General features: G+C 46.9%; 1 long non-coding RNA gene across 2 annotated transcripts in view, besides 2 other annotated features; it reads right to left on the reverse strand.

The window, feature by feature from the left end:
• Positions 170-735: an enhancer, noted in NCBI's record as "H3K4me1 hESC enhancer chr11:60793655-60794220 (GRCh37/hg19 assembly coordinates)". NCBI's record gives its function as "activates a minimal SCP1, AML or CMV promoter by ChIP-STARR-seq in naive H9 embryonic stem cells {active_cell/tissue: H9 hESC(naive)}" and the evidence as "EXISTENCE:reporter gene assay evidence [ECO:0000049][PMID:30033119]".
• Positions 2664-2723: a silencer, noted in NCBI's record as "silent region_3384". NCBI's record gives its function as "represses an Ori minimal core promoter by ATAC-STARR-seq in GM12878 lymphoblastoid cells {active_cell/tissue: GM12878}" and the evidence as "EXISTENCE:reporter gene assay evidence [ECO:0000049][PMID:35858748]".
• The window catches only part of LOC105369325 (uncharacterized), a 63496-nt gene continuing 43309 nt past the window's right edge, over positions 2850-23036 (reverse strand). Inside the window, exons 1-2 of one of the 2 annotated variants that reach the window (NR_188503.1) lie at positions 17053-17325; positions 2850-4382 (exon numbers count right to left, since the gene is read on the reverse strand). This is a non-coding gene — a long non-coding RNA (uncharacterized LOC105369325). Of the gene's footprint in view, positions 4383-17052; positions 17326-23036 lie in introns of those variants that run through there. The other variant, NR_188502.1, reaches the window with a different exon arrangement.

Consider the following 23036-nt stretch of genomic DNA (forward strand, 5'->3'; position numbering starts at 1 on the left):
CCAGGGAGCACAGGTACTGGCTTTCCTTCCTTGGCAGGGCATCACCTGCGGGTCCCTAACCTTGTCCCCTGGAAACCTCACCTCCGACGTACACCTGTCCATCCCCCACCCCTCCCTATCGCCCCATCTGCGGTTTCCACTTCCGCCCCTCTCAAAGACCCTCTTCATGGTTCTGGTGAACGGACAGAGCGGCTGGAGCCCGTGTGGCCACCTGGCGTGGACCTCTCTTGGCCGCCGTCCCCGGCCCCCCGTCCTCGCTTCGTGAGGATGGGATGGAGTCTCCAGAGTGGGGAGGTGCAGGGGAGCCCCAGGGAAGGGATGGGTTGAAAGAAGCTTCAGTGGAAAGTTCATCTCCCGCCACATCCTTCAGCTGTTTACCAGTTTGACGGAGTTCTGGCATCCTGACATGAAAAGAGGCTCACCTCTCACCAACATCATTGAGGAAGGACCGAAATAGCAACAAAGGGAGACAAAGGAGGGGGGCGGGGGGTGGGGAGAGAGAGTCATGAGACAGAGAGGAAAAGAGGAAGACAGAGGGAGGGAGCGGTGTGCCTGAGCAGACAGTGGAAGGCAGGAGCAGCCAGACAAAGCCTTTGTCTTCCCTGGCCCCGAACCCCGCACTTGCTGGACCCCTTACATTGTGGCCTCACTTAATTCTCAAAACCTCCCAGAGCCTTAAGGTCTCCTAACGTCTGTTACCTTCCCTGTGGGAAAAGTGAAGCCCAGAGAAGTCATGGGACTAGTTCAAGGTCACCCAGCTAGGACCAGGGGAGCCAGGTTCACAGCCAGTCAGTGCAGCTACCACGGGGCAAGCAGGAGGGCGGGGAGGAGAGAAGATGGAAAGGTGATAGGCTGGAGGGGGAGAGGGTGGGTGGGAGGCCGGGAGACCATGACACGTTCTGTCCTGGGGAAGGATCCCCCACCCCCTCCGCAGAGGACCCGGGCCCTATCCTGGCTGAGGGCAGGTGCCCCCTCCCTGGCTCCCTTCCCCCAGCTCGTCCCACTTGCCCAGCCACCCACCAAGTGCAGAAGGAGGGGGAGGGGAGGGAGTGGTCCCCAGGGCCATGGGCTCTGGCTGAGATTCATTTTCCTTCAAGCCCCCTGCTCACAAAGAGTCCCTCTACCTGCGAGGTCTCCTGCCTCCCCTCCCTACGCTTAGCCCGACCAGGCCCACAATCACTGCCTCCTCTTCATTCTTCCACACAGTGGGGAGACAAAATGATCCTCGTCCAGACACTCACAGACACATTCCCCTCCATGGCCTCCAGGTCACACACACGGCTCTCCCTAGAAACAACAGCACTGGGTCCATGGGGCTCCGCTTCCTTCCCATGGCCTCCCCTCTGGGGTGACCATCCCTCCCTCCAGGCCTCACTCTCTGCCCTGGTTTCAAGGCAGGTGAAGGCTGTTTCTTATCTGAGGATGAGATACTAAAATAACTGGGGTCAGTAGCCCCCCTCAACTTTTCTGCATAGCCAAGACACAGCAATACCCTTCATCGCATCACTCCGATAGTCACCCTCTTTTCCCCCTTCTGTGGCCGGTGCCGTGACTTCCTGCAGTCTGCTCTGCGTTTGCTGCCCTTGCCTGCAGTCCTCCCACCTTCTTGGCAACCTGAAGACTAGGTGGGTGCATCCTGCGTGCAGCAGGAGAGACTCGGTACATGCTAGAGATGTACAGCCCCAGACGCATGTCTGTCCCTGCAGGACCCTCTCAGCTCATGCCCACGCTCACCCTCTAGCAAGAACAACCCATCCTGTAAGAGAGCCCTTCTGTGGTCCAGGGCCAGGCAAGGCCACCCACCGCAGCCTTTCGTCCCCAGGCCACCTACCCTGGGGATAGCTAGTGTAGGGCTGGAAGCAGCCAAGTCCTCCTGCTAACATCAAAGCCCCTCTGGCTGTGGGGACCCCTCTGAAGTACATGGGTGATGGCAGTAGCATTAACCCTGGAGCTCTGCCCAGTAAAAACCCCAAGATCCCCTCCCTCCCTTCCTGTTCCAGGAAACTCACCTCTTCTGCCCATACTCAAGTCTTCCTACTGCTTTGTCAAGCTCTCTTCTCCTTTCCTGATTTTATGGCTTGTTCTTTCTTTCTTTTTCTTTTTTTTTTTCTGAGCCAGGGTCTTGCCCTGTTGCCCAGACTGGAGTGCAGTGATATGATCATAGCTCACTGCAGCCTTGACCTCCCAAGCTCAATCAATCCTCCTACCCCAGCCTCCCAAGTACCTGGGACTACAGGCACACGCCACCACTCCTAGCTAATTCTTTCTTTCCATTCTTTCTTTTCTTCCTTTATCTCGCTCTCTTTCTCTCTCTCTTTCTTTTTCTCTTTCTCCTTCCTTCCTTCCCTCCTCTCCTCTCTCTCTCTTTCTTTCTTTTGACACGAGGTCTCACCATGTTACTCTCAAATGCCTAGGCACAAGCGATCCTCCCACCTCAGCCTCCCATAGTGCTGGGATTACAGGCATGAGTCACTGTGCCCGGCCTGCCTGTTCTTTCACTGAGACATGTTTGAGATTTGTATGCACCTTGCACGCACCCAAAAGCACACTTTCCTCCCAGCCCCTCACTAGTATCTGGCAGAGAGCCCAGAACCCTGACTCTGCCCCCGAGAGTGAGCTCCCTGCACACAGGCTGGCACAGCCTTGTGTCACCACTTTATTGACTGTTCTTAACTCACTGACCCAAGGCCTGACCATCCCAGTGGGATGAAGCCCCAGGGGCAGAAGGAAGTTGATTTAAGGCAACATTTGTCAAAACTGTAATCCATGTACATCTTCACAGTTTTTGCTTTATCTGTAGACCATTTGTTCTTTGGGTCACTTGATAGTTTTTCTTTAAGTGGACTCACTTATTTAAAACTTAAATTTATTTAAAAAGGAATTTTTAGACATCTTAAAAAATATCTGGCAGGTACTTTTCAAAAATGCCAATGTCATAGAATACAAAGACTCAAAAACTGTTTCAGATGAAAAGAGTCAAAGAGGCATCCCGAGTGAAGGCAAGGCATGACCTGACGTTTTCTTTTGCCATAAAGGACATTACAAGGACAGGCAGTGAAACAGGAAGGAGGTCTAGTGACTACAGGGTTATATCAGTGTTAGTTCCCTGATTTTGAAAAGTGTACTATACTTATGTAATAAAATAGTCTTGCTTTTAGGAAATACACACTGGAGTACTGACACATTTAGAGGTAAAAGAGGCCTGGTGCGGTGGCTCACACCTGTAATCCCAGCACTTTGGGAGGCCGAGGCAGGCGGATCACCTGAGGTCAGGAGTTCAAGACCAGCCTGGCCAACATGGTGAAACCCCATCTCTACTAAAAATACAAAAAATTAGCCGGGCGTGGTGGTGGGTGCCTGTAATCCCAGCACTTCGGGAGGCTGAGACAGGAGAATCGCTTGAACCCGGGAGGCAGAGGTTGCAGTGAGCCGAGACCACGCCATTGCACTCCAGCCTGGGTGACAAGAATGAAACTCTATGGCAAAAAAAGGAAAAAAAAAGAGGGATCCCAACTGAACGCAAGGCATGGCCTGGGGTTTTCTTTTGCCATAAAGGACATTACCAGGACTGGCAGTGAAAGAACAGCATGCTTTTAAATAATTCAGAAAAAAAGTGTGTGTGTGTGTGTGTGTGTGTGTGTGTGTGTGTGTAGGTAGGTAGGTAGGTAGGTAGTTTGGTGGGGAAGGTAGGGGGAGACACAGAGAGAGAGATTGGGAGAAAATATTAACACTAAGGGAATCTGGGTGAAAGGCATCCAGGAACTCTACTATGCTCGCAACTTTTCCGTATGTCTGAAATTGAATTAAAATTTAAAACAAACTCAAGGGAAGCTACATTGCCATTATAAATGGAAAACCAGTATCACTTGGTATACGTTGAAGATAATTGTAAAATAAAGTAATGCTGTTACTTTTGCTGGACACATTCGTCCACTAGAGTCTGAGTCTAGGACCCGCCTGTTCTTGGTTCTGTGTCGAGACGGGCAACGATGAGAGGGGTTAAAGACATCCTCGAACCAACCCGAGACACTCTCCTTTCTGTCATGAGAAGGACTGGTGCAGAGCTGAAAAGGGCATCATTTTCTCACTGTGTGATTCTGTGATCTTCAGAGTCCTGTCCTATGGCTTCAAGTTCAGGAACATTTGTTTCGTGAAAGTTTAACTGACACTGTCAGGGCCAGTTCCAACATGCAGCCCTGGCTCTGAGAGAGAAAACATGGTCCCTGCCCTCAGAAGCTCAACAGCGTGGGCAGTCATGGGTCCTGGGATGGAAGAGCTCGCTTCTCTGGATCCCAAAGTTCCTGGAGTCCCAGGAATCCAGAGGGGTGATTCAGGGCCAGCAGGTACCCCAGGAGCAGACACCCAGCAGTAGTGGCTCAGAACTGGCGAAGACAAAAGAACATCATCAGTGTGCGAGAAGTAAGGTGGCAGGAACTGGGCCCACAGTCTTTCACGGGGCAGCCTGATGCCCTAATCCATTTAGTGTTTGTTCTGATTCTTCCTGCTACCCGCTTCCCATTCTGCTTCCTTCTGACTGCCAAGGCGCCTTTCTATCCATCTTTCTTCAGGGCATATTTCATTTTCTTAATTAACTTTTTATTTTAGAATCATTTTAGACTTACAGAAAAATTGCCGAGTCATTTTGTACACCCCATACTCAGTTTCTCCTATTGTTAACATCTTACATTAGCATGGTAAATTCATCACAATTAATGAACCCATATTGATACATGATTATTCACCAAAGTCCACATATTATTTGGATTGCTTCAGGGTTTCTGTTTGGCTTGGTTTGGTTTGGTTTGGTTGGTTGGTTGTTGTTGTTTTTTGATTGCTTGTTTGTTTGTTTGAGATGGAGTTTCACTCTTGTCGCCCAGGCTGGAGTGCAGTGGCACGATCTCGGCTCATAGCAACCTCCGCTTCCCAGCTTCAAGTGATTCTCCTGCCTCAGCCTCCCAAGTGGCTGGGATTACAGGCATGCGCCACCACACCCGGCTAATTTTTGTATTTTTAGTAGAGATGGGGTTTCACCACGTTGGCCAGGCTGGTCTCGAACTCCTAACCTCAGATGATCTGCCTGCCTTGGCCTCCCAAAGTGCTGGGATTACAGGCATGAGCCACCGCACCCGGCTGGTTGGTTGATTGTTTTGTTTTGTTTTGTTTAAGAGACAAAGTCTCGCTCTGATTCCCAGGCTGGAGTGCGTGGCACAATCATAGCTCACTGCAGCCCCTACTTCCCAGGTTCAAGAACTCCTCCCACCTCAGCCCCCCAAGTAGTGGGACTACAGGCACGCACCACTACACCCAGCTAATTTTTTATGTTTTGTAGAGATGAGGGTCTTCCTATGTTGCCCAGGCTGGTCTTGAACTCCTGGGCTCTAGCAGCCCTCCCACCTCAGCCTCCCAAAGTGTTGGGATTACAGGCATGAGCCACTGTGCCCAGCCAGCCCAGATTGCTTTAGTTTTTATCTAATATCCTTTTTGTTTCCAGGATCCCACCCAACATACCATATCCCATTTAATCATCCTGTCTCCCTAAGCTCCTCTTGGTTGTGACAGTCTCTCAGACTCTGTTTTTGATAACCACGACAGTTTTGAGAAGTGTTTGCTCAGGTGTTTTGTAAAATGATCCTCAACTGCAATTTGTCTGTTTTTCTCATGCTTAAATCTGGGTGGCAGGTTTGAGGGAGAAAGACTGCAGAAGTCAAGTGTTATTCTCATCACATCATTTCAAGGGACCTGCCATCAACATGACTTGTCACTGTGGACATCGGCCCTGATGGCCTGGCTGAGGCTGTGTTGGTCAGCTTTCTCCACTGTGCAGATACTCTTTTCCACACTGTCCCCTCTGGAAGGAGGTCACTATGCACAGCTCACACACTTAAGGAACAGGGGGTTGGGGAGGAGGGAGAAAGCAGAAAAGAAAGAAATGAGGAATTATGCCCAACCTCTTTAAGGGCAAAGCAGCTACAAAAATTATTTGCAAGTTTTCTTCATATTTGTCTACTTTCATTCATTTATTTATTTACTCACTCTGTCACCCAGGCTGGAGTCCAGTGGCGCCATCTCAGCTCACTGCAACCTCCTCCTCCTGGGTTCAAGCGATTCTCCTGCCTCAGCTTCCCTAGTAGCTGGGACTACAGGCCCACACCACCATGCCCAGCTAATTTTTGTATTTTTAGTACAGACGGGGTTTCACCACATTGGCCAGGCTGGTCTTGAACTCCTGGGCTCAAGTGATCCACCTGCCTCGGCCTCCCAAAGTGCTGGGATTACAGGAGTGAGCCACTGCACCCAGCCTACTTTTCTTTATTTATTCTATCTTCTATTTATATCAGTATGGGCTCACGGATATTTACTTTGGATTAGAGTCCAGTACTACTTTGTGACTCAAGCTATTCCAGGTGTGGCCATTGGGAGTTCGTTCCACGGGCTCCTGTGACAGTTTCACAGACCCCTATCATTGTGGGTTCCATTGATCATGTCTTGATTTTCTGGCACTACAAGATGCTCCAGGCTTTACAAAGAAAGGAAATTCTGACACATGCTACATCGTGGATGAACCTTGAAGACATCGTGCAAGGTGAAATAAGCCAGTTCCAAAAAGACAAATAACATATGGCTCCACTTATAGGAGGTGCTTAGAATAATTAAATTCATAGAGACAGAAAGTAGAAGGGTGGTTGCCAGGGGCTGGAGAGCAAGGCTTGGGGTATTCGTGTTTAATGAATACAGAGTTTCAGTTTTGCCAGATGAGAAGAGTTCTGGAGATGGAGGGTGGTGATGGTTATGCAACATGATGTATGTATTTAATACCACTGAATAGTACACTTAAAAATGGTTACGATGGGCCAGGCATGGTGGCTCATACCTGCAATCCCAACACTTTGAGACGCCAAGAGAGGAGGATCACTTGAGCCCAGGAGTTTGAGACCAGCCTGGGCAACATAGCAAGACCCCTGTCTCTACAGAATAATAAATAAGTTAACTGGGCATGGTGGCACACACCTGTAGTTCTAGGTGCTTGGGAGCCAAAGTGGGAGGATCACTGGAGCCCAAGAGTTTGAGGTCACAGTGAGCTATGATCACACTACTGCATGCTAGCCTGGGCAACAGAGCAAGATCCTGTCTCAAAAAAAAAAAAAAAAATGGTAAACATGAGTTCATACTAATGCCACCAAATCTCAACCATTACACATGGATTATTCTAGATTTTTCTTGTTGATCCATAACCTCCCACTCCAACAGTGAGAAACTGACTCCCATTACTTGCCAACCATTTCCTTAATTGTTTAATTCCATATGTCACTTTTCTATCTTACTTGTTTCCTGCTTTCTCCCCAAGATTATAAGCTGCTCAAAGGCAAGGCCTGGGCTTGGTTTTGTTCTTTCTGCCCCTACTCCTGCAACCTAACATCCAGCAGAATGTCTTTAAAACAATAGACTTAATATTTTATGAGTATCTACATGGGTAGACACTCTGCTCATCTCTAGGGGTGCAAAGGTGGGTAAGACGTGGTGCTAGCTGCCTGGTGGATCCCAGTGCCAACAAATATTTATTGAACACTGAATGCAATGGAATGACAAGTCATGTACATCCCCCACAGAGAACTACAAGGAAGGAGAGGCAGACTGGAATGCCAGCGCTGTGCAAGCAGGGATGTGTGCTTGCTGTGGTCACTGATGTATCCCCAGCACGCAGAAGAGGGCCTGGCACATAATACATGCTTAATAAATGCTTGAGGAAGGCGAGTAGCAGGTCTCCACTTTTGCATCAGTGCCTTTCAGACCCCTTGCAGTTTTGTTCCTCAGACATAAACTCCCCTAAATGTCCCCATCTATGTGGAATCTGAACCACCCACGTCTGCAGGTGAGTGAGCGCTGGGGCTACCACTGCCTGCACCCATCCTCCTAGATGCCTTTGCTTGTGCAGTTATTTTGACACCTGGTAAAGTATTACTCTACAAAGATGAATGGAACATGGAGACATAAAGGGCCAATTCCAGTGAGAGGATTAGACCTCATTAATCTAATACTGTTAGGGCAAAGTAGAAACATCTGGCCCACTCGCTCTGGGAAACTCTCAGGAAAATCCCTGAAACTGTCTGCCTTGCCACCCTGTGGCATGATTTTTCCCTGTTGCGGGGAAGGATGGCATGAAGAGGCCCTGATTGGCTTCATGTCAGGTCCAGCAGGCATAGGCACCCTTCAAGAAATTGATTCCACAGCTTTTACGCAGTATAGGAAGGTCTCCAGTTAATTGTCTCTCTTTGTTTAAGAAGTAGGCTTGCTGTTCCTTTGACGTATGTTTCTATAAATAGGTTATGCTGCAACCAGCACATCTGTGTCCCAAAAAGGTTTTTAAAAAGTTGTAAATGGGCTGGACAAGATGGCTCATGCTGGTAATCCCAGCACTTCGGGAGGCTAAGGCAGGAGCATCACTTGAACCCAGGAGTTTGAGACCAGCCTGGGCAACAAAGCAAGAGACTCCATCTCTACAACAAATTTGTAAAACCTAGCCTGGCATGGTGGCACATGCCTGTAATCCCAGCTGCTTAGGGGTCTGAGCTAGGAGGATCACTTGAGCCTGGGAGGTCGAGGCTGCAGTGAGCCATGTTCATACCACTGCACTCCAGCGCGGGTGACACAGCCAGACCCTGTCTCAATAACAACAACAACAAAGTTGTAAGTGAATGTCACTGTCATCCCTCATTTCTGCCCCAGTCTGAAACACTGAAAGAGCTCAGCCTTGCCCCTCTCAGGCCCCCTGCCCCCAGCATCAGCTCCCTCTACCCCACCCCCACCCAGGCATCACGCCCTGAGTCAGACACAGGTTTTCTGAAGGTCCCAGACATGACCCTGGGTTGTCCTTCCCCAGTCAGTGAGTCCTAGGCTGTAGGAGCCCAGACCTTGCCTGTGGAGGTGGGAGACCCCACTCTCCAGTGTAAAGCCCTGCCTGAGCTGTGAGTGACAGCTCTGAACCCCAAACTCCCTCGGTACATCGCTTTTTAATTAAGTAAGATGAAAAGACAAGACATAATTAGAAAGCAAGCCTTTGGGGCACGGCAGTGGGAATCATAATATGTTATTCCAAAGGCAGAAAGAAACCATTTCTGTATGATCTGTTTAGAACGAATGTTACTCCTTCTCTCGTTTCTGTTTTCATTCAATTTGCAAACATTTATTCCATTCCTACTCCAAAGGCGCCTCTTCCTCCCCTTCCACACACTTGCACTGTGCCAGGCATTTTCCATACATCATTGCACTGAATCCTAGCAACCGTCTGTGGTCGTTACTGTTACTATCCCTGTAGCTTAGGCAACAAACGGCTAGCGGCAGAACCAGAACTCACACCCAGACCCGAGGAGTCGGAGGCCCGGGCTCTGCCACTACACACTGTGGTCCCCGGGGCCTAGGCTGGGCTGGGCACCAGGGGCTGCAGGATTTTCTCTGGGGATGTTCTCACACTGGCCTTGGCCCCTAGAGGAGGGAGGAGAGAATGGATCCCTCTCATACATCAATTCAAGGACAACCGATTTTTCTCTAAGAGGAAGACACCCACACGAAAACCGGAAGGCAGCCTTGAGTGTCGTGTGATAAGTTTATCGGCGCCATCTCGCCAGCCACCCCCTCCCCAGGGTCTCGATCAATGGGACACAGTGCGCCTCCAGTCTGAGAGGCTTCCTTGGGTGGGTGGTGGGACTGCAAGGTGGCCCTTTGGCAGAGTCTACAAGAGCTAAATTAGGTCGCCAAGTGGCCCATTACCCACATAATCTAGCCCTACCTTCCAGAACAACTGAGAAATGCCTCAGTGGGCAGAGCCTCAAGTCCACCAGATAACAGGCCCCAACTTGACCTCTTGTCATCAGAAATCACTGCCAAGTTTCCAAGCCAGGGAAAGAGCAACAGTCGTGAGGCCTGTTCCACGCACCCACCTATGATCCTCTCGCTGGAGGCAGAGGTGAGCCCCAGCATATGCCTGCGAAGTACAGGAACGTTCCCCTGCTTTGGAGAGGAGGAAACTGATGCTCACAGGGCTTCAGCCATAAGCCCACAGGTCACACGGCCAGTGCCAGAGCTGAGACACGAGTCCTGCCTCTTGGGCTCAAAGTTTAGGTCTCAGACTGGCAGCCTGGGGACCCAATTTAACCTACGGATGTGCTTTTTGAGGCCAGCTCAGTGTTTTAGAATTTCCTTTGGAATGAATTGCGAACATTTGAAACTTAGGAGATTTCATATAGAACTCCAGATTTTTTATTTCTTTTGAAAAATTGGAAATTCTGGTCACCCTGGACCTGAAATCTTAACAGTAAGCTATAATCAGCTGGACTGGAGCCAGGAGAGGCTGCCCTCCCAGATGGGTTTGGGATCCTGTTGGTACTGGGTTTGTCACCCCTGCCCCACTGCTCATGGCCTCTCCCTCCCCAAAAGCCAGCTCAGGGATACTTAGCCCTTGAGGAGGCAGAGCCCGGCTGGTATCCTGGCCAACTATGCTGGGGGAGACCTTGAATGCCCAGCTCTCCCCCTGGCAAAGACCACACTGCACAGCCCATTGGAGTGGGTTGGGGGTGCTGCATAGTGTCCTCCCAGGCATCTGGAGTGCCAGGGCCTGCAGGTGTGGCCTGTCCCTGGCTGGCCTGTAACTCACCTGGCACTGCCCACTGCACCCTACAAGGCCTACACAAGGTCTCGCTGTGTCACCCAGGCTGGAGTGCAAGTGGCGTGATCTCGGCTCACCGCAACCTCCACCTCCCGGGTTCAAGCGATTCTCCTGCCTCAGCCTCCCGAGTAGCTGGGATTACAGGCATGCACCACCACGCCCGGCTAGAGATGGGGTTTCTCCATATTGGTCAGGCTGGTCTCGTATTCCCTACCTCAGGTGATCCGCCCGTTTCAGCCTCCCAAAGTACCGGGATTACAGGCATGAGCCACCACGCCCGGCCGAGATGAGCTTTTCATAGACGAGGACGGAGGGTGTGAAAGGCCAACGCGCTGGCCCGATCCTGCCCCAAGCTTGGCACCGGGTGAGCCTGGCTGAGCACAGCGCTGCTTCCAGTTCCTCTGTGCCTGGCCTTCCCTGAGGCTTCTGTGGGGTCTGGGAAGTTTGTGGGCTTGGAATGGGCCAGAATTGGCCTCTAGGGACGTTGCTGCATATCTGTAAATGGACAGATTGGTCTGTACAAACCTTTGTCTGTTCATCACAAACACTGCCATCAACCGATGCGGTGAAAAGCCCATTCGAAATCACCACTGACAACCCATGCAGGTGCACGAAATCCTGCTGTTACCACCTCACCCCTTTGCGTTAAAAGGGGTTGTCTTCTCAGGGCTCATTTTTAAAGGCAGGCACTCCTGGGAAGTATCAGCCGTTAATACCCAAGTATGAATTGCTTTCCCAGACTTAAATTTTCAGAAAACTCAGAGATCACTTAGTCCAAACAGCACATCTTTTTTTCTAATTTATCCACAGTCAGGAGCAGAGCAGGAGACACAAGGAGCCTTTCCTGAGTCTGTGGTCTAGGGCAGTGGGTGGCAAACTCTTCCAGTAAATGGTCAGATAATAAATATGTCAGGATTCGCTGGCCACACAGTCTTTGTTGCAACTGCTCAATTCTGCTATTAACTCTCTTAAAAGCAGCCAGAGACAGCACAAAAAGGAATGAATGCGGCTAGGTTCCCATCAAACTACCCATGGATGCTAAGATTTGCATTTCATATAATTTGTATGTGTCACATAATATTATTCTCTTTCCTTTTTTCCAACCATTTAAACATGTGAAAGCCACACTTGCCTCGTGGGCAGGACAAAACCAGGCATCGGGCCAGCTCTGGCTTGAGGGCCATAGTTAGCTTACCTCTGGTCTGGTGGAATGGTTTCAAGAAAGCTGCACTGCAGGCTCTCACACATTTCAAAGCTGTTTTCTAAAATGGTTTGCATTAATTTGGACGAAGCAGGATGTGATTCATATATCATATCCAGTGTCATACTTTCAAAACTGACATTTTAAAACTTATGTCATCCTTTTAAATAAACCTAGTGGAATACAATGTTGATACCCACCATCATCCATTTTAAAAATATATGAGTACACCTTTCTTGAGCAGCTAGTGCCATTACACCATCCCTTTTTCTCTTTGGATTCTTATTCCACCCCTTCCACATAATCTTTTTTTTCTTTTTCTTTTTCTTTCTTTCTTTTTTTTTTTTTTTTGAGACAGAGTTTCTCTCTTGTTGCCCAGGCTGGAGTGCAATGGCACAATCTCGGTTCACCACAACCTCCGCCTCCCGGGTTCAAGGGTTTCTCCTGCCTCAGCCTCCCGAGTAGCTGAGATTACAGGCATGCGCCACCACGCCCAGCTGATTTTGTATTATTAGTAGAGACGGGGTTTCTCCATGTTGGTCAGGCTGGTCTCGAGCTCCTGACCTCAGGTGATCCACCCACCTCGGCCTCCCAAAGTGCTGGGATTATAGGTGTGAGCCATCACGCCCGGCCTCACATATTCTTATCCTAATATGTTTTCACGCTTTGAAGTCCTACAGTAATCATCCTTTGATTCTTTTTTTTTGAGACAGTCTTGCTCTGTCCACCAGGCTGGAGTGCAATGGCGCAATCTCGGCTCACTGCAAACTCTGCCTCCGAGGTTCACGCGATTCTCCTGCCTCAGCCTCCAGAGTAGCTGGGATTACAGGTGCGCGCCACCACGTCTGGCTACTTTTTTTGTATTTTTTAGTAGAGACAGGGTTTCACCATGTTGGTCAGGCTGGTCTCGAACTCCTGACCTCAGGTGATCCGCCTGCCTCAGCCTTCCAAAGTGCTGGGATTACAGGCATGAGCCACCGCGCCCGATGCCCTTTGATTCTTTGAAACAAAATGTATATAAATTAAAATGCTAAAACGTTATCATTTCCTGTGATCATAAGGCTCTGACAACATTTTCCTCTAGATTATGTTGTCATTATGATTATTATTCACACATAAAGCAAAATAATATGGGTACTACAAATTTTGATGCTATTTATTATATCAATATAAAGGATGATTAGCCAGAGAAAACTAAATGTTATTGGAAAGGTATCTGAATGGGTGTTTAGGTTTTTCCCTCTCACTTAGTTAACATACCCAGAGATGGATATTATTTGTTTCTAGAACAAGACAGGAATTAGCATCCTGTTTTCATTTTTATAGATATGACCACTGAGTCCATGGAGCTAGAAGGAATTTGTTAGAGTGAATTTTCCCAACTCTGTCCAAGTTGGAGGCCAAAAATGTCACAATGTAATCTAGAGTCAAATTATTTTTTACTTTTTAAAATGATGTTGAAGGCCAGGTGGGGTGGCTCACGTATGTAATCCAAGCACTTTGGAAGGCCGAGGCAGGTGGATTACTTGAGGTCAGGAGTTCGAGACCAGCCTGGCCAACATGGTGAAACACTGTCTCTACTAAAAATACAAAAATTAGCTGGGCGTGGTGATGCGTGCCTGTAATCCCAGCTACTTGGGAGGCTGAGGCAGAAGAATCGCTTGAACCCGGGAGGCGGAGGTTGCAGTGAGCCGAGATTGTGTCACTGCACTCCAGCCTGGGCAACAGACCAAGATTCTGTCTCAAAATAAATAATAAATAAAAATAATGAAAATAATAAAATGATGTTAAAGATAAATATTAAAAGCCATCTGACCTGCAAAATGATTTATTACCTGTCTTGGTTCCAACGCCGACACCTCAAACTGTCCCTTTATTGGTGCCCAGAAGTTTTTTTACCCACTAGGATCCAGGATGGGTTAGGTCTGCATCATTTTAAGTCAAGCAGAACAGCAATTAAGAAAGGCAGCTGGGACAGACAAACTGATGGGACGCATTGGTGAGGAGGAAGGAAGTCCAGGAGGAAGCTGACTTGGAAATCCACTCCCCTTAAGACTACCCATACCCTTTTCTATCTGAAGATCACCAGCCTAGAACAGAGCTGAAGAAAGACAGATACTCTGTGTTGGAAATTGCAAAAGCTCTCTGCAAGAACAACTCCATCCGAACCCTGCCCTACGACACTCAACCAAGCTCTAGCAAAGCTTCTGGCAGCCTCAGGCCACACCCCTGGGACAACCCACCGCCGCTTTGCACTCCTGTGTGGAAAAGCTCAGGGCTGCCAAAAGAATTCACCATTTGTTCCAGCCAACACGTGAGGATAGACATTTATTTAAAAACTTCCAGTTGTACATCCTTTCTCTCTCCATTTGGGTCCTATGTGTGCCTCCTACAGCCCAGAAGTGTCTTTCTCAAGACTTGAGAACCATTTCTTTGAAATGATATCATCAGCAAGGATAGGGCCTGTCCCAGCCTCTGAGGGAGGGCAGGAGCCTAACTTTGATAAAGGCCAGTTAATCTACACAGCTGGCCTCATCACGCTAATTTTTCACTTCTCTGATTGTTTGAGCCCCGGTTCACTCCTCTCTACTCCCTCATTCTCCCTTAAAAACAGAGGGCACCGAGGGAACCCAGTCAGAGGCACCCAAGACAGGTGCGGTGGCTCACACCTATAATCCCGGCACTTTGGGAGGCCAAGGTGGGAGGATCCCTTGAGCTCAGGAGTTCAAGACCAACCTGGCAACACAGGGAGACTTCCATCTCGACAATTTTTTTTTAATTAGCTAGGTGTGGTGGTGTGCACCTACGGTCCCAGCTACTTGGGAGGCTGAGGCAAGAGGACTGTTTAGCCCTAGGAGGTTGAGGCTGCAGTGAGCTGTGATTGCACCACTGCACTCCAGCCTGGGTGAGAGAGCAAGACCCTGTCTCAAAAACCAAAAGGAAAAACAAATCACCCAGTTACCTCTGCACAAATCAAAGTTGAGCTCAGCTTACACTAGAGCCTCTTCCCTACTATAGAAGCTATCGCTGAATAGATCTGTGTTTACCACCTTTAACAAGGGCTGATTTTGTTTATCTTTGATCAGGTAATATCCTCTCCCTGGCAGATCGATGATCAATTACAGTGGGACCTTCAATCCAGATGGGGCTGGAGGATCCTTTCTCATGGTGATTGCTACACTGATCACAGAGGCCACCAGACCAAGAGGACACAGAGCTGCCCATCCAGACAAGATAAAACAGAAGCTGCCACTGCTCCCACGAGAGCCGCCTCCCACCGGAGCCTCTCCCCTTCCTCAGTGCACTCTTCACTGAGGATTTATTTGCTGGTGCTGTGGGGAGCCCAGGTCAGATGCCCTGGCAGGACAGACTAAATTCCTTCTAAATTGAGGAAAGTGCCTCCTGTTGTGGAAGAAAAGGAATAAGACCTTGGCTGGGCCCAGTGGCTCACGTCTGTAATCCCAGCACTTTGGGAGGCTGAGGCGGGCTGGTCACTTGAGGCCAGGAGTTCGAGACCAGCCTGGCCAACATGATGAAACCCTGTCTCTACCAGAAATATAAAAATTAGCCCAGCGTGGTGATGGGTGCCTGTAGTCCCAGCTAGTCAAGAGGCTGAGGCAGGAGAATCACTTGAACCTGGGAGGTGGAGGTTGCAGTGAGCTGAGATCGTGCCACTGCACTCCAGCTTTGGCAACAGAGTAAGACTCTGTCTCAAAAATAAAACAAAATAAAATTTTTTTTGAAAAAGAAAAAGAAACAAGACCTTGACATTTTGGACTGTTAAGTTTTCTCCATAAGGCCCACCTAAGACACAGATCACATTATATAGCAAAAGTGGAAGGGGACAGGGCAGCAGACTTTCCCAAGGCCACGGAAGCTAGTCAGAAGCCACTGTCCCTCTCCCACTTCAAACAGCCCTGAGGGCTATAAACACTGCGTGGCCTGACACGTGGCCAGCAGAGGGTGACCCCAAGTCCCCTGACAGCACCGATCAGTTCGTGTGGGCAGACCCTAAGAGCCAGCAGCCCAAAAATAGTTCTGGGCGTGGGAAGTCAACGTGAAGCTGTATATGGTGAAAATACAGGTTGAGGCTCTTTTGAAACAGAGAAGTGCCCCTTGCTATGGAGATATAAAGCTGTCTTGTGGTAGATTCTGGAAATCCCAAGGCTTAGAGCCCTTCACAGGGCATGGCAGGGCTGAGGGGAATGCGGGGAACGTTGGATGACAATGCTGGGGGCATGGATTCTTGGCCCCTAAGGAGCCCTGGCTGTGCCTCCTGCAACTCCTTCCAGGCCTCTGGAGTGACAGGGCATAATTCAGGTGCCAGGGCTCAGGCTCCAGGGGCCCTGGATAGGGTGTGGTGGCAGCAGCCTCTGAGCTAAGAAAGTCGATCATTCTAGAGCTCTAACCATTCTATTTAAAGCTCAAGACAAAGAGAAGGCGGGAAGGGAAATGCTCAAGGCAAACAACCTCCGAGCAGCACCCGGAGACCACGCCTGGGGAGGAGGGGCCCAGGCTGCTGCCAGAGGGCTCAGAAACGGCTGCTGTACAGAGAGAGCTCTGCACTGCATGGGGCTGAGTGATGCTGAGTGTGAGAAATGGAAAACATCCTCAAAGGCTATCAAAGGGAGATGGGTTCGTCGGTTAGACACACCCACAGCGGGATGCTCTGCAGAGAATGACGCAGAGCTCAATTTATTGGCTTGGAGAGGCGACCCCAGCCCATTATTATTGAGTTAAAAAATAAATTTAAAAACTGCATTGATAGTAAGATACCATTTATGTAAAGTACTCTCTCTCTCTCTCACACACACACACACACACACACACACACACACCCCTGGTATCAGAAAAGTCAGGAAACAGTATCAGGGCCAGCTTCACGTGCAGGGCCCCAAGCTTGGTTTAACACTCTGCTGCCACCATCTTACTTTGTAATTCTGTAGCTGGCCCTGCATGGAATAAGCTCGCTTAAAAAAAAATCAACTTTGATGAGAGATAATGTACGTACAATAAAATACACCCATTTTAAGTGGACAGTTGGATGAGTTTTGACAAATACCCATGCAACGACTTAAATTAAGATATAGAACCTCTCCTCACCCCATCAAGTGCCTCCCGCCCTGTGCGACCACACTCCCTGCCCCAACCCCACACAACCACTGTCACTGACACTGTCCCTATAGCTTACCGTTGTCATTTCCAGAATACGATAAAAATGAAATTGCACGCTGCACACTCGTTTCCGCCTTCTTCCCTCACAGTCATGGTCTGGGAGTCCACACTGTGTTAGCAGTGGTTTGCTCCTTTTGTATTGCAGAGAAATGCGGATACACATGTAGATGTACATATATCGCCATTCATCTCTTTCTCCATTAGTGGACATCAGGGTGGTTTCCAGTTTGGGGCTGTTAACGAGCAGTGCTGACGTGAGCTTTTGTGTACAAGCTGCGTAGCAACATATGCTTTCACTTCTCTTGGGCAAATACCTAGGAGGGCAATTATCGTGTTGTACGGTAGGTGTATGTTTAATTGCCTAAGAAACTGCCAAACTATTTTCCAAAATGTTTGGACCATGTTTAGATAAACAGCACAAGACATTTTTGAATACTATTGCAATATGTTTTTCTGCAACTCCCAGTGCAACAAACACATTTCAGAGTATCCAGAAATTCGGGAAACAAGGGTTAAATAGTGATTATTTATTGTACTTTGTTCAGGTTAACAATTGGACCCATTGCTTCAAATGTAGAGGTACTACGCCTGAAAAAGTGTCTAGCAGTTAAAGAAAAACATATTGAGCCCAGAATTTGGAGGTATAACAAATATAATGTTTTAAAATAAGTGTATCCTATGTTTCCTGAATTTTGGGCCACCCTGAGCCTGGAAAAACGATCAGAAGGGTCATCTCAATATGTTACGCATGTTATAATGATAGCTGTGGTTTACTTGCCAGCTATAAAAGCTACATTTATTTGTTGTAGAAGATTTAGAAAATACAAATAAGAATAAAAATATAGTTCCTATTCATCATAATGCTATTTTCTCCTGTGTGTTTTGCTAGGTGCTTGTGTATATTTAATATTAATCATATTTTTTATCTCACACTAACTTCCTAAAATATCTCCTTATTTACAAAAGCAGTACTCCCTCATAGCAAAATTTTAAAAACAAAATATTAATAATTTAAAATTAAAAATTGAAATAAGAGCCTCCTACCCAAAGTTAACAATCTGCTCTGCATCCTTCCAGACATTTTTTACACGGGTTCGGTCCTTTATATGTATATATGTGTATGAGCATTGCATTATAAAACATTTTATATAACATTGCGTTATAAAAACATGTATAAAAGATATGTTTTTGAACACATATATTTTAAAATTTATATCATTTCATATCATATTTTTAACTAGTAACAGGCATTAAATATTCTTAGAAAAAAGTTTTGAATATCTACATACTATTCCATTGTATAAGTGTGCCTTAATTTATTAAACTATTACTCAAATGTTAAAGCTCTTGGTCGAGTCTATTTGTGTGTGTGTGTATGTGTGTGTAGTAATACTGTGATAAGCACTTTTTGTCATAAAATTTGGCCACATCTCTAATTCAATGCATAGGATAGAGTCCTAGAATTTCTAGATCAAATTATATATCATATTAATAATCTTAAACAACTGTTATCAAATTGTGTCCAAAACGTTTTAACCAGTTTACCCTTCAACTGGTCAAAATTCAGTTCAATCGTTCTAAAATTTTTTAACTTTTAGAGTGAATAATCATGTCTCATTGTTGAACTAATTGACACGCTCATGATTATTACGGAGCTTAGCATTTTTTTCATATGCTTATTGGCCATTTCTACCTTTCCTTTTGTAAATTGCTTACACTTTAATCTATTTTTTCATTAGGTTCAATCTCTTTCTTATGGAAATATAAAAGTATTTAATATATTTTTTGAATTCCCAGCATTTATAACAGTGCATCAACCATTATAAGCACTTAAGAAATGTTAAATGAAGGAATATATACAAGGGATAGTAATCATTTTTTCTATATGTTGCAAATATGTGTTCTTAGCAAACAAATAGCTTCAAATTTTGCTCACGCTTTTTTTTAATTTAAAATAGAATTCAAAATGCTATTTCTATTTTTCTTCTGTAGCTCCTTTATAGTCTATGTCTGGTAAGTCTTTCCCTCATTCTTAAATCAGATAAGCTTTGGCCTATATTATCTTCTCTTTCTATTTTTATAAAATACTTAAATCTTATTATCTGCAAGGGCAAACTCTGTTTCATCACTCCCATTTTTCAAAAAATTCTCAGTAATTGTCTCCAGCTTATCCTTTAGGTAAACTTTAAAATTACTTAAATCCCCCCACTACACACATACAAATACCATTTGGGTTTAGGGAGAACTGCCTTCAACCTATAAGTTACGATACTTGGGGCCTCTGTCCCTCATTCCCCTGGGATCTTTATTGGAGTCAGCTGGAAGGGATGCCAAGGTCAGGAAGCCAATATGATATGATGCCCACAGCACCCCAGAGCTCTGCACCAGCCTCCAGGTTGCCAGGCGTGCTCAAAGATGATTCATTAATTAGTAAGTATTTTTAAAAGACAGTCATCACGTCCATGAGATCGGGGTCAAATAGGCACTCCCTTGTGCTTCAGGTTGGAATGTAAATTGAGAGACAGCTTTTAAAAGCAACTGGAAAATGCGTACCGAGGGCTTTAACAATGCCTGCGCTTTTGACCAGGAGACCCACATTTAGAAACTGCCAAGAAAACAGTGTAGACAAACATATACGCACAAAGATGTCCTCTACTATATAAGGAAAAACTAGAATGAGATGTCTAACATCTAGGAAACCCATCTGGTAAATGCCGGTATCTAGATCTAAGAGAATTTCATGCAGTTTTCAGAAGGGATTCTTCTTACAAAATCCCAGCAAGATGTACAGCAAACAAGCCTAGGAGGGCTGCCCACGATGCTCTGAATGGTAGATTTGGATGGGATTCTTTTTTCTCTTTCTAGTTTTTAAAATAGTTTTCCAAGTTTTGTGCCATAAACATGTATTTCCTTGATAATTTTTTTGAAACCTATTTTAAATGAGCAATTAACATGTTTAAAAATTAATATAGGCCAGGTGCGGTGGCTCACGCCTGTAATCCCAGCACTTTGGGAGGCCGAGGCAGGCGGATCATGAGGTCAGGAGATCAAGACCATCCTGGCTAAAACGGTGAAACCCCGTCTCTACTAAAAATACAAAAAAAAAATTGCCCGGGCGTGGTGGTGGGCGCCTGTAGTCCCAGCTACTCGGGAGCCTGAGGCGGGAGAATGGTGTGAACCTGGGAGGCGGAGCTTGCAGTGAGCCGAGATGGCACCACTGCACTCCAGCCTGGGCGACTGAGTGAGACTCCGTCTCAAAAAAAAAAAACATTAATGTAACTTTTTATTATAACAAATCCACACTCATAGAAAGGAAACAAGAAAAAAAAAGGCTAAACACTGCACAAAATCTCTAAAGAAGGTAAAAATAATCTGGAATCCTACCACCTGGAGATAACCACCTCTATACATACACATACCTATATGTAGACACACATACAGAGACACATGCATGTTATTTGCAAATTGCTTCTTTTCCTCATCAATATGTCATGGACATCCTTCCACAGCAATAAAAGTCCATCAACCTCATTCTTTCTTAATGGTCCATGTGAAAATATTTCCACCCATACATCTTGTCTTATGGACGTACCATTATTTATTTAACCAATGCTCTATTGATGCACCTTGAAGTTGTTTGCAATATTTCACTTAATCATTAACATACCAATAAATGATATGGACTGCGGGAGTCAGCCTCTGCTGTAGTGTTAATATTCTACTGTGAATTCACTATTCAGGTCAGGGCATCAGTTTCGTCCCTTGTAAGACAAGGACATGGCGATTCCTGAGGTGCCTCCAGCTGTAGTATTCTCTGATTTCCTGCAGTGGCAGCTGGTTTCTCAAGAATATGAAGTGCTCAATGTAATTTAGAGCAATCTGCACAGCTAAGAATAGGGATCCTCTCTAAAATGATACTGTGGAAGCCCTCAAATTACCACCAGACTTCAACAGTACATATTTCCCGATCTGCAGGGTGACTGGAAGGTGGCTTCTGATGCCAACTTGGGCTACAATCATGCTGGAATGCAGCTCTGTCTTCAGTCAGGCCAGTAGCATTCAAAGAAGCACAACTGTGCAGCCATCTGCCTTTCTCCCAGTGGTCGAGTTCTCTTTTTCTACAGACTGCTCTCAGAGTTCTGCCCATTTTCTTTACCTGCACTTTTCCTTGAACCTCAAACATACATACATATTAGGATGCCTTGAGCTCGGTGTTTGCTCTGCAGCAAATCTCTCAATAATCCACCTGCTATCAGCATCACACCCCTGACAAATGCTCCTAATGGGCCTCTTCCCAGAAAAGAGCTTTTGATGTTGCATAGCAAGCATGAGAGTGAGATTCAACCAGGCAGACTGGCTTTATCCAACCACAGTAACAACAAACCTTAACTGGGCACCTACTATGTGCCAGGCACACTTCACTTTTGCACATCACTTCATTTCTGAAGACTGGCCAGTTTCTGAAGGCAGTTAGGAAAAACCCTTGTTGAGAATTCCAGCTTTAAAAAGTGCCTCTGACTCTAGAAACCAGGTTTAGAAAAGCCAGTCCTCTGATGCATAAATCCCCGCTACAACAGTAATCGCACCTAGCAGCTTGTATCATTCACAAGCATTCACTTGCTTTGGCCCTGAAGAGCTGCTTTTACTGACTTGTGCTTTGGGGCAGACCTTCAGGAATTGAGGGATTTTGTGGGAAACAGCATGATGAAACTTGCTGTTTGTTGCTCATAAAGATGACGAGAATGTCTTTTGAGACAGTAGAGAGGGTCCTCAAGCCTCTGGGTTTGCCTCTTTGCCTTGGCCACCAGGAAGCTCAGAATCAAACCAGTGTCCCACCACCTACAACATGAACAGACCTTTTGATATGATGCATCATGTGGATAACTTTCTCATCAATTCATCTTTTCACCCGTGCTTTCCTATCACACAGAGTTCTCTGGGTTATTTTTCATCCTGCTCCGTTTTGTGTACTGTTGCCTCATACTTATGGTGAATGGGAAGGGAAATAAATGTTACAAGTCAGAGACAGGACAAAAGACTGGCCCCCTAGCTCCCAGCCCTTTCCCCCACCTTTGATGATTGGGCCACCTGAAGAGGGGTGTCACTTTGATGGGCTGATCCGAGTCACCCCCAGTCACTGCAATTTCAGAACAAAGTGCACCGTGGGCCCTTTCCACATCTTCTTCAACCACCTCACCTTTTGTTCTTACCCATCAAAACAGATCTGATCTCTTCCCTGCCCACCAGGTAAAAGTGACAAGGTCAGTAACTCAAAATCACCCTTGAAGGGCCATCTCCTATGGATCCAGAACTCTGAATTAGTAGCCTCTCAGGTTCCAAGGTGACTGAAAGGAAGCCTGAATTTAAAACCAAAACCCAAAACGCCTTCTACCACCTAAAGCCCCCACACTGCTGCAAAGCACAGGCAAAAAGTTGGCATCAAGTGCACGTCTGCACCAAACTGCACAATCATCACCTTCCTTCTGGTCATTAAGCTTCGGTGCTCATCGCCTTGCTGCCTGGCCCACCCTCCCTCCTGGTCCATCCACTCTGGTGCTGCTGTGAACCCTGCCTCCTCCAGGAAGCCTTCCCTGACCCATCCATTCAGGCCTCCATTCTGTTTCCACCTATTGCTAGCTCAGCACCGTTCAGCAGGTAACTGCTTCCAATCCTGCCCTGTCCCCCCACCCCTCCCTCCTGGCTGCTGCCCTCGGCTAAAGCCACGTGGATGCCTGTTCTTGAAACACCAGCCCGGTTTCAAATGAGATCACAGAAAGCTACCTGCTTGGCTACACACATTTCCTTTTTAACGAAAGTTTAGCCAAAGCTGTTATTAAGACCTGACCTTAGGCAAGAAGTGATGGTAAATTCCCCATGCTGCAGCATCTTGTAAATGGTTCAAATTAGGATAAACCCCAACACCCAGCCCAGCATCACAAAACAACAGTTTAAAAGAAACACCCCTCCGTACAATGTGTCTCAATGTTTGCTGCGCTTGTA

This window comes from Homo sapiens, chromosome 11 (genome assembly GCF_000001405.40).
Source record: "Homo sapiens chromosome 11, GRCh38.p14 Primary Assembly".
NCBI lineage: Eukaryota > Metazoa > Chordata > Mammalia > Primates > Hominidae > Homo > Homo sapiens.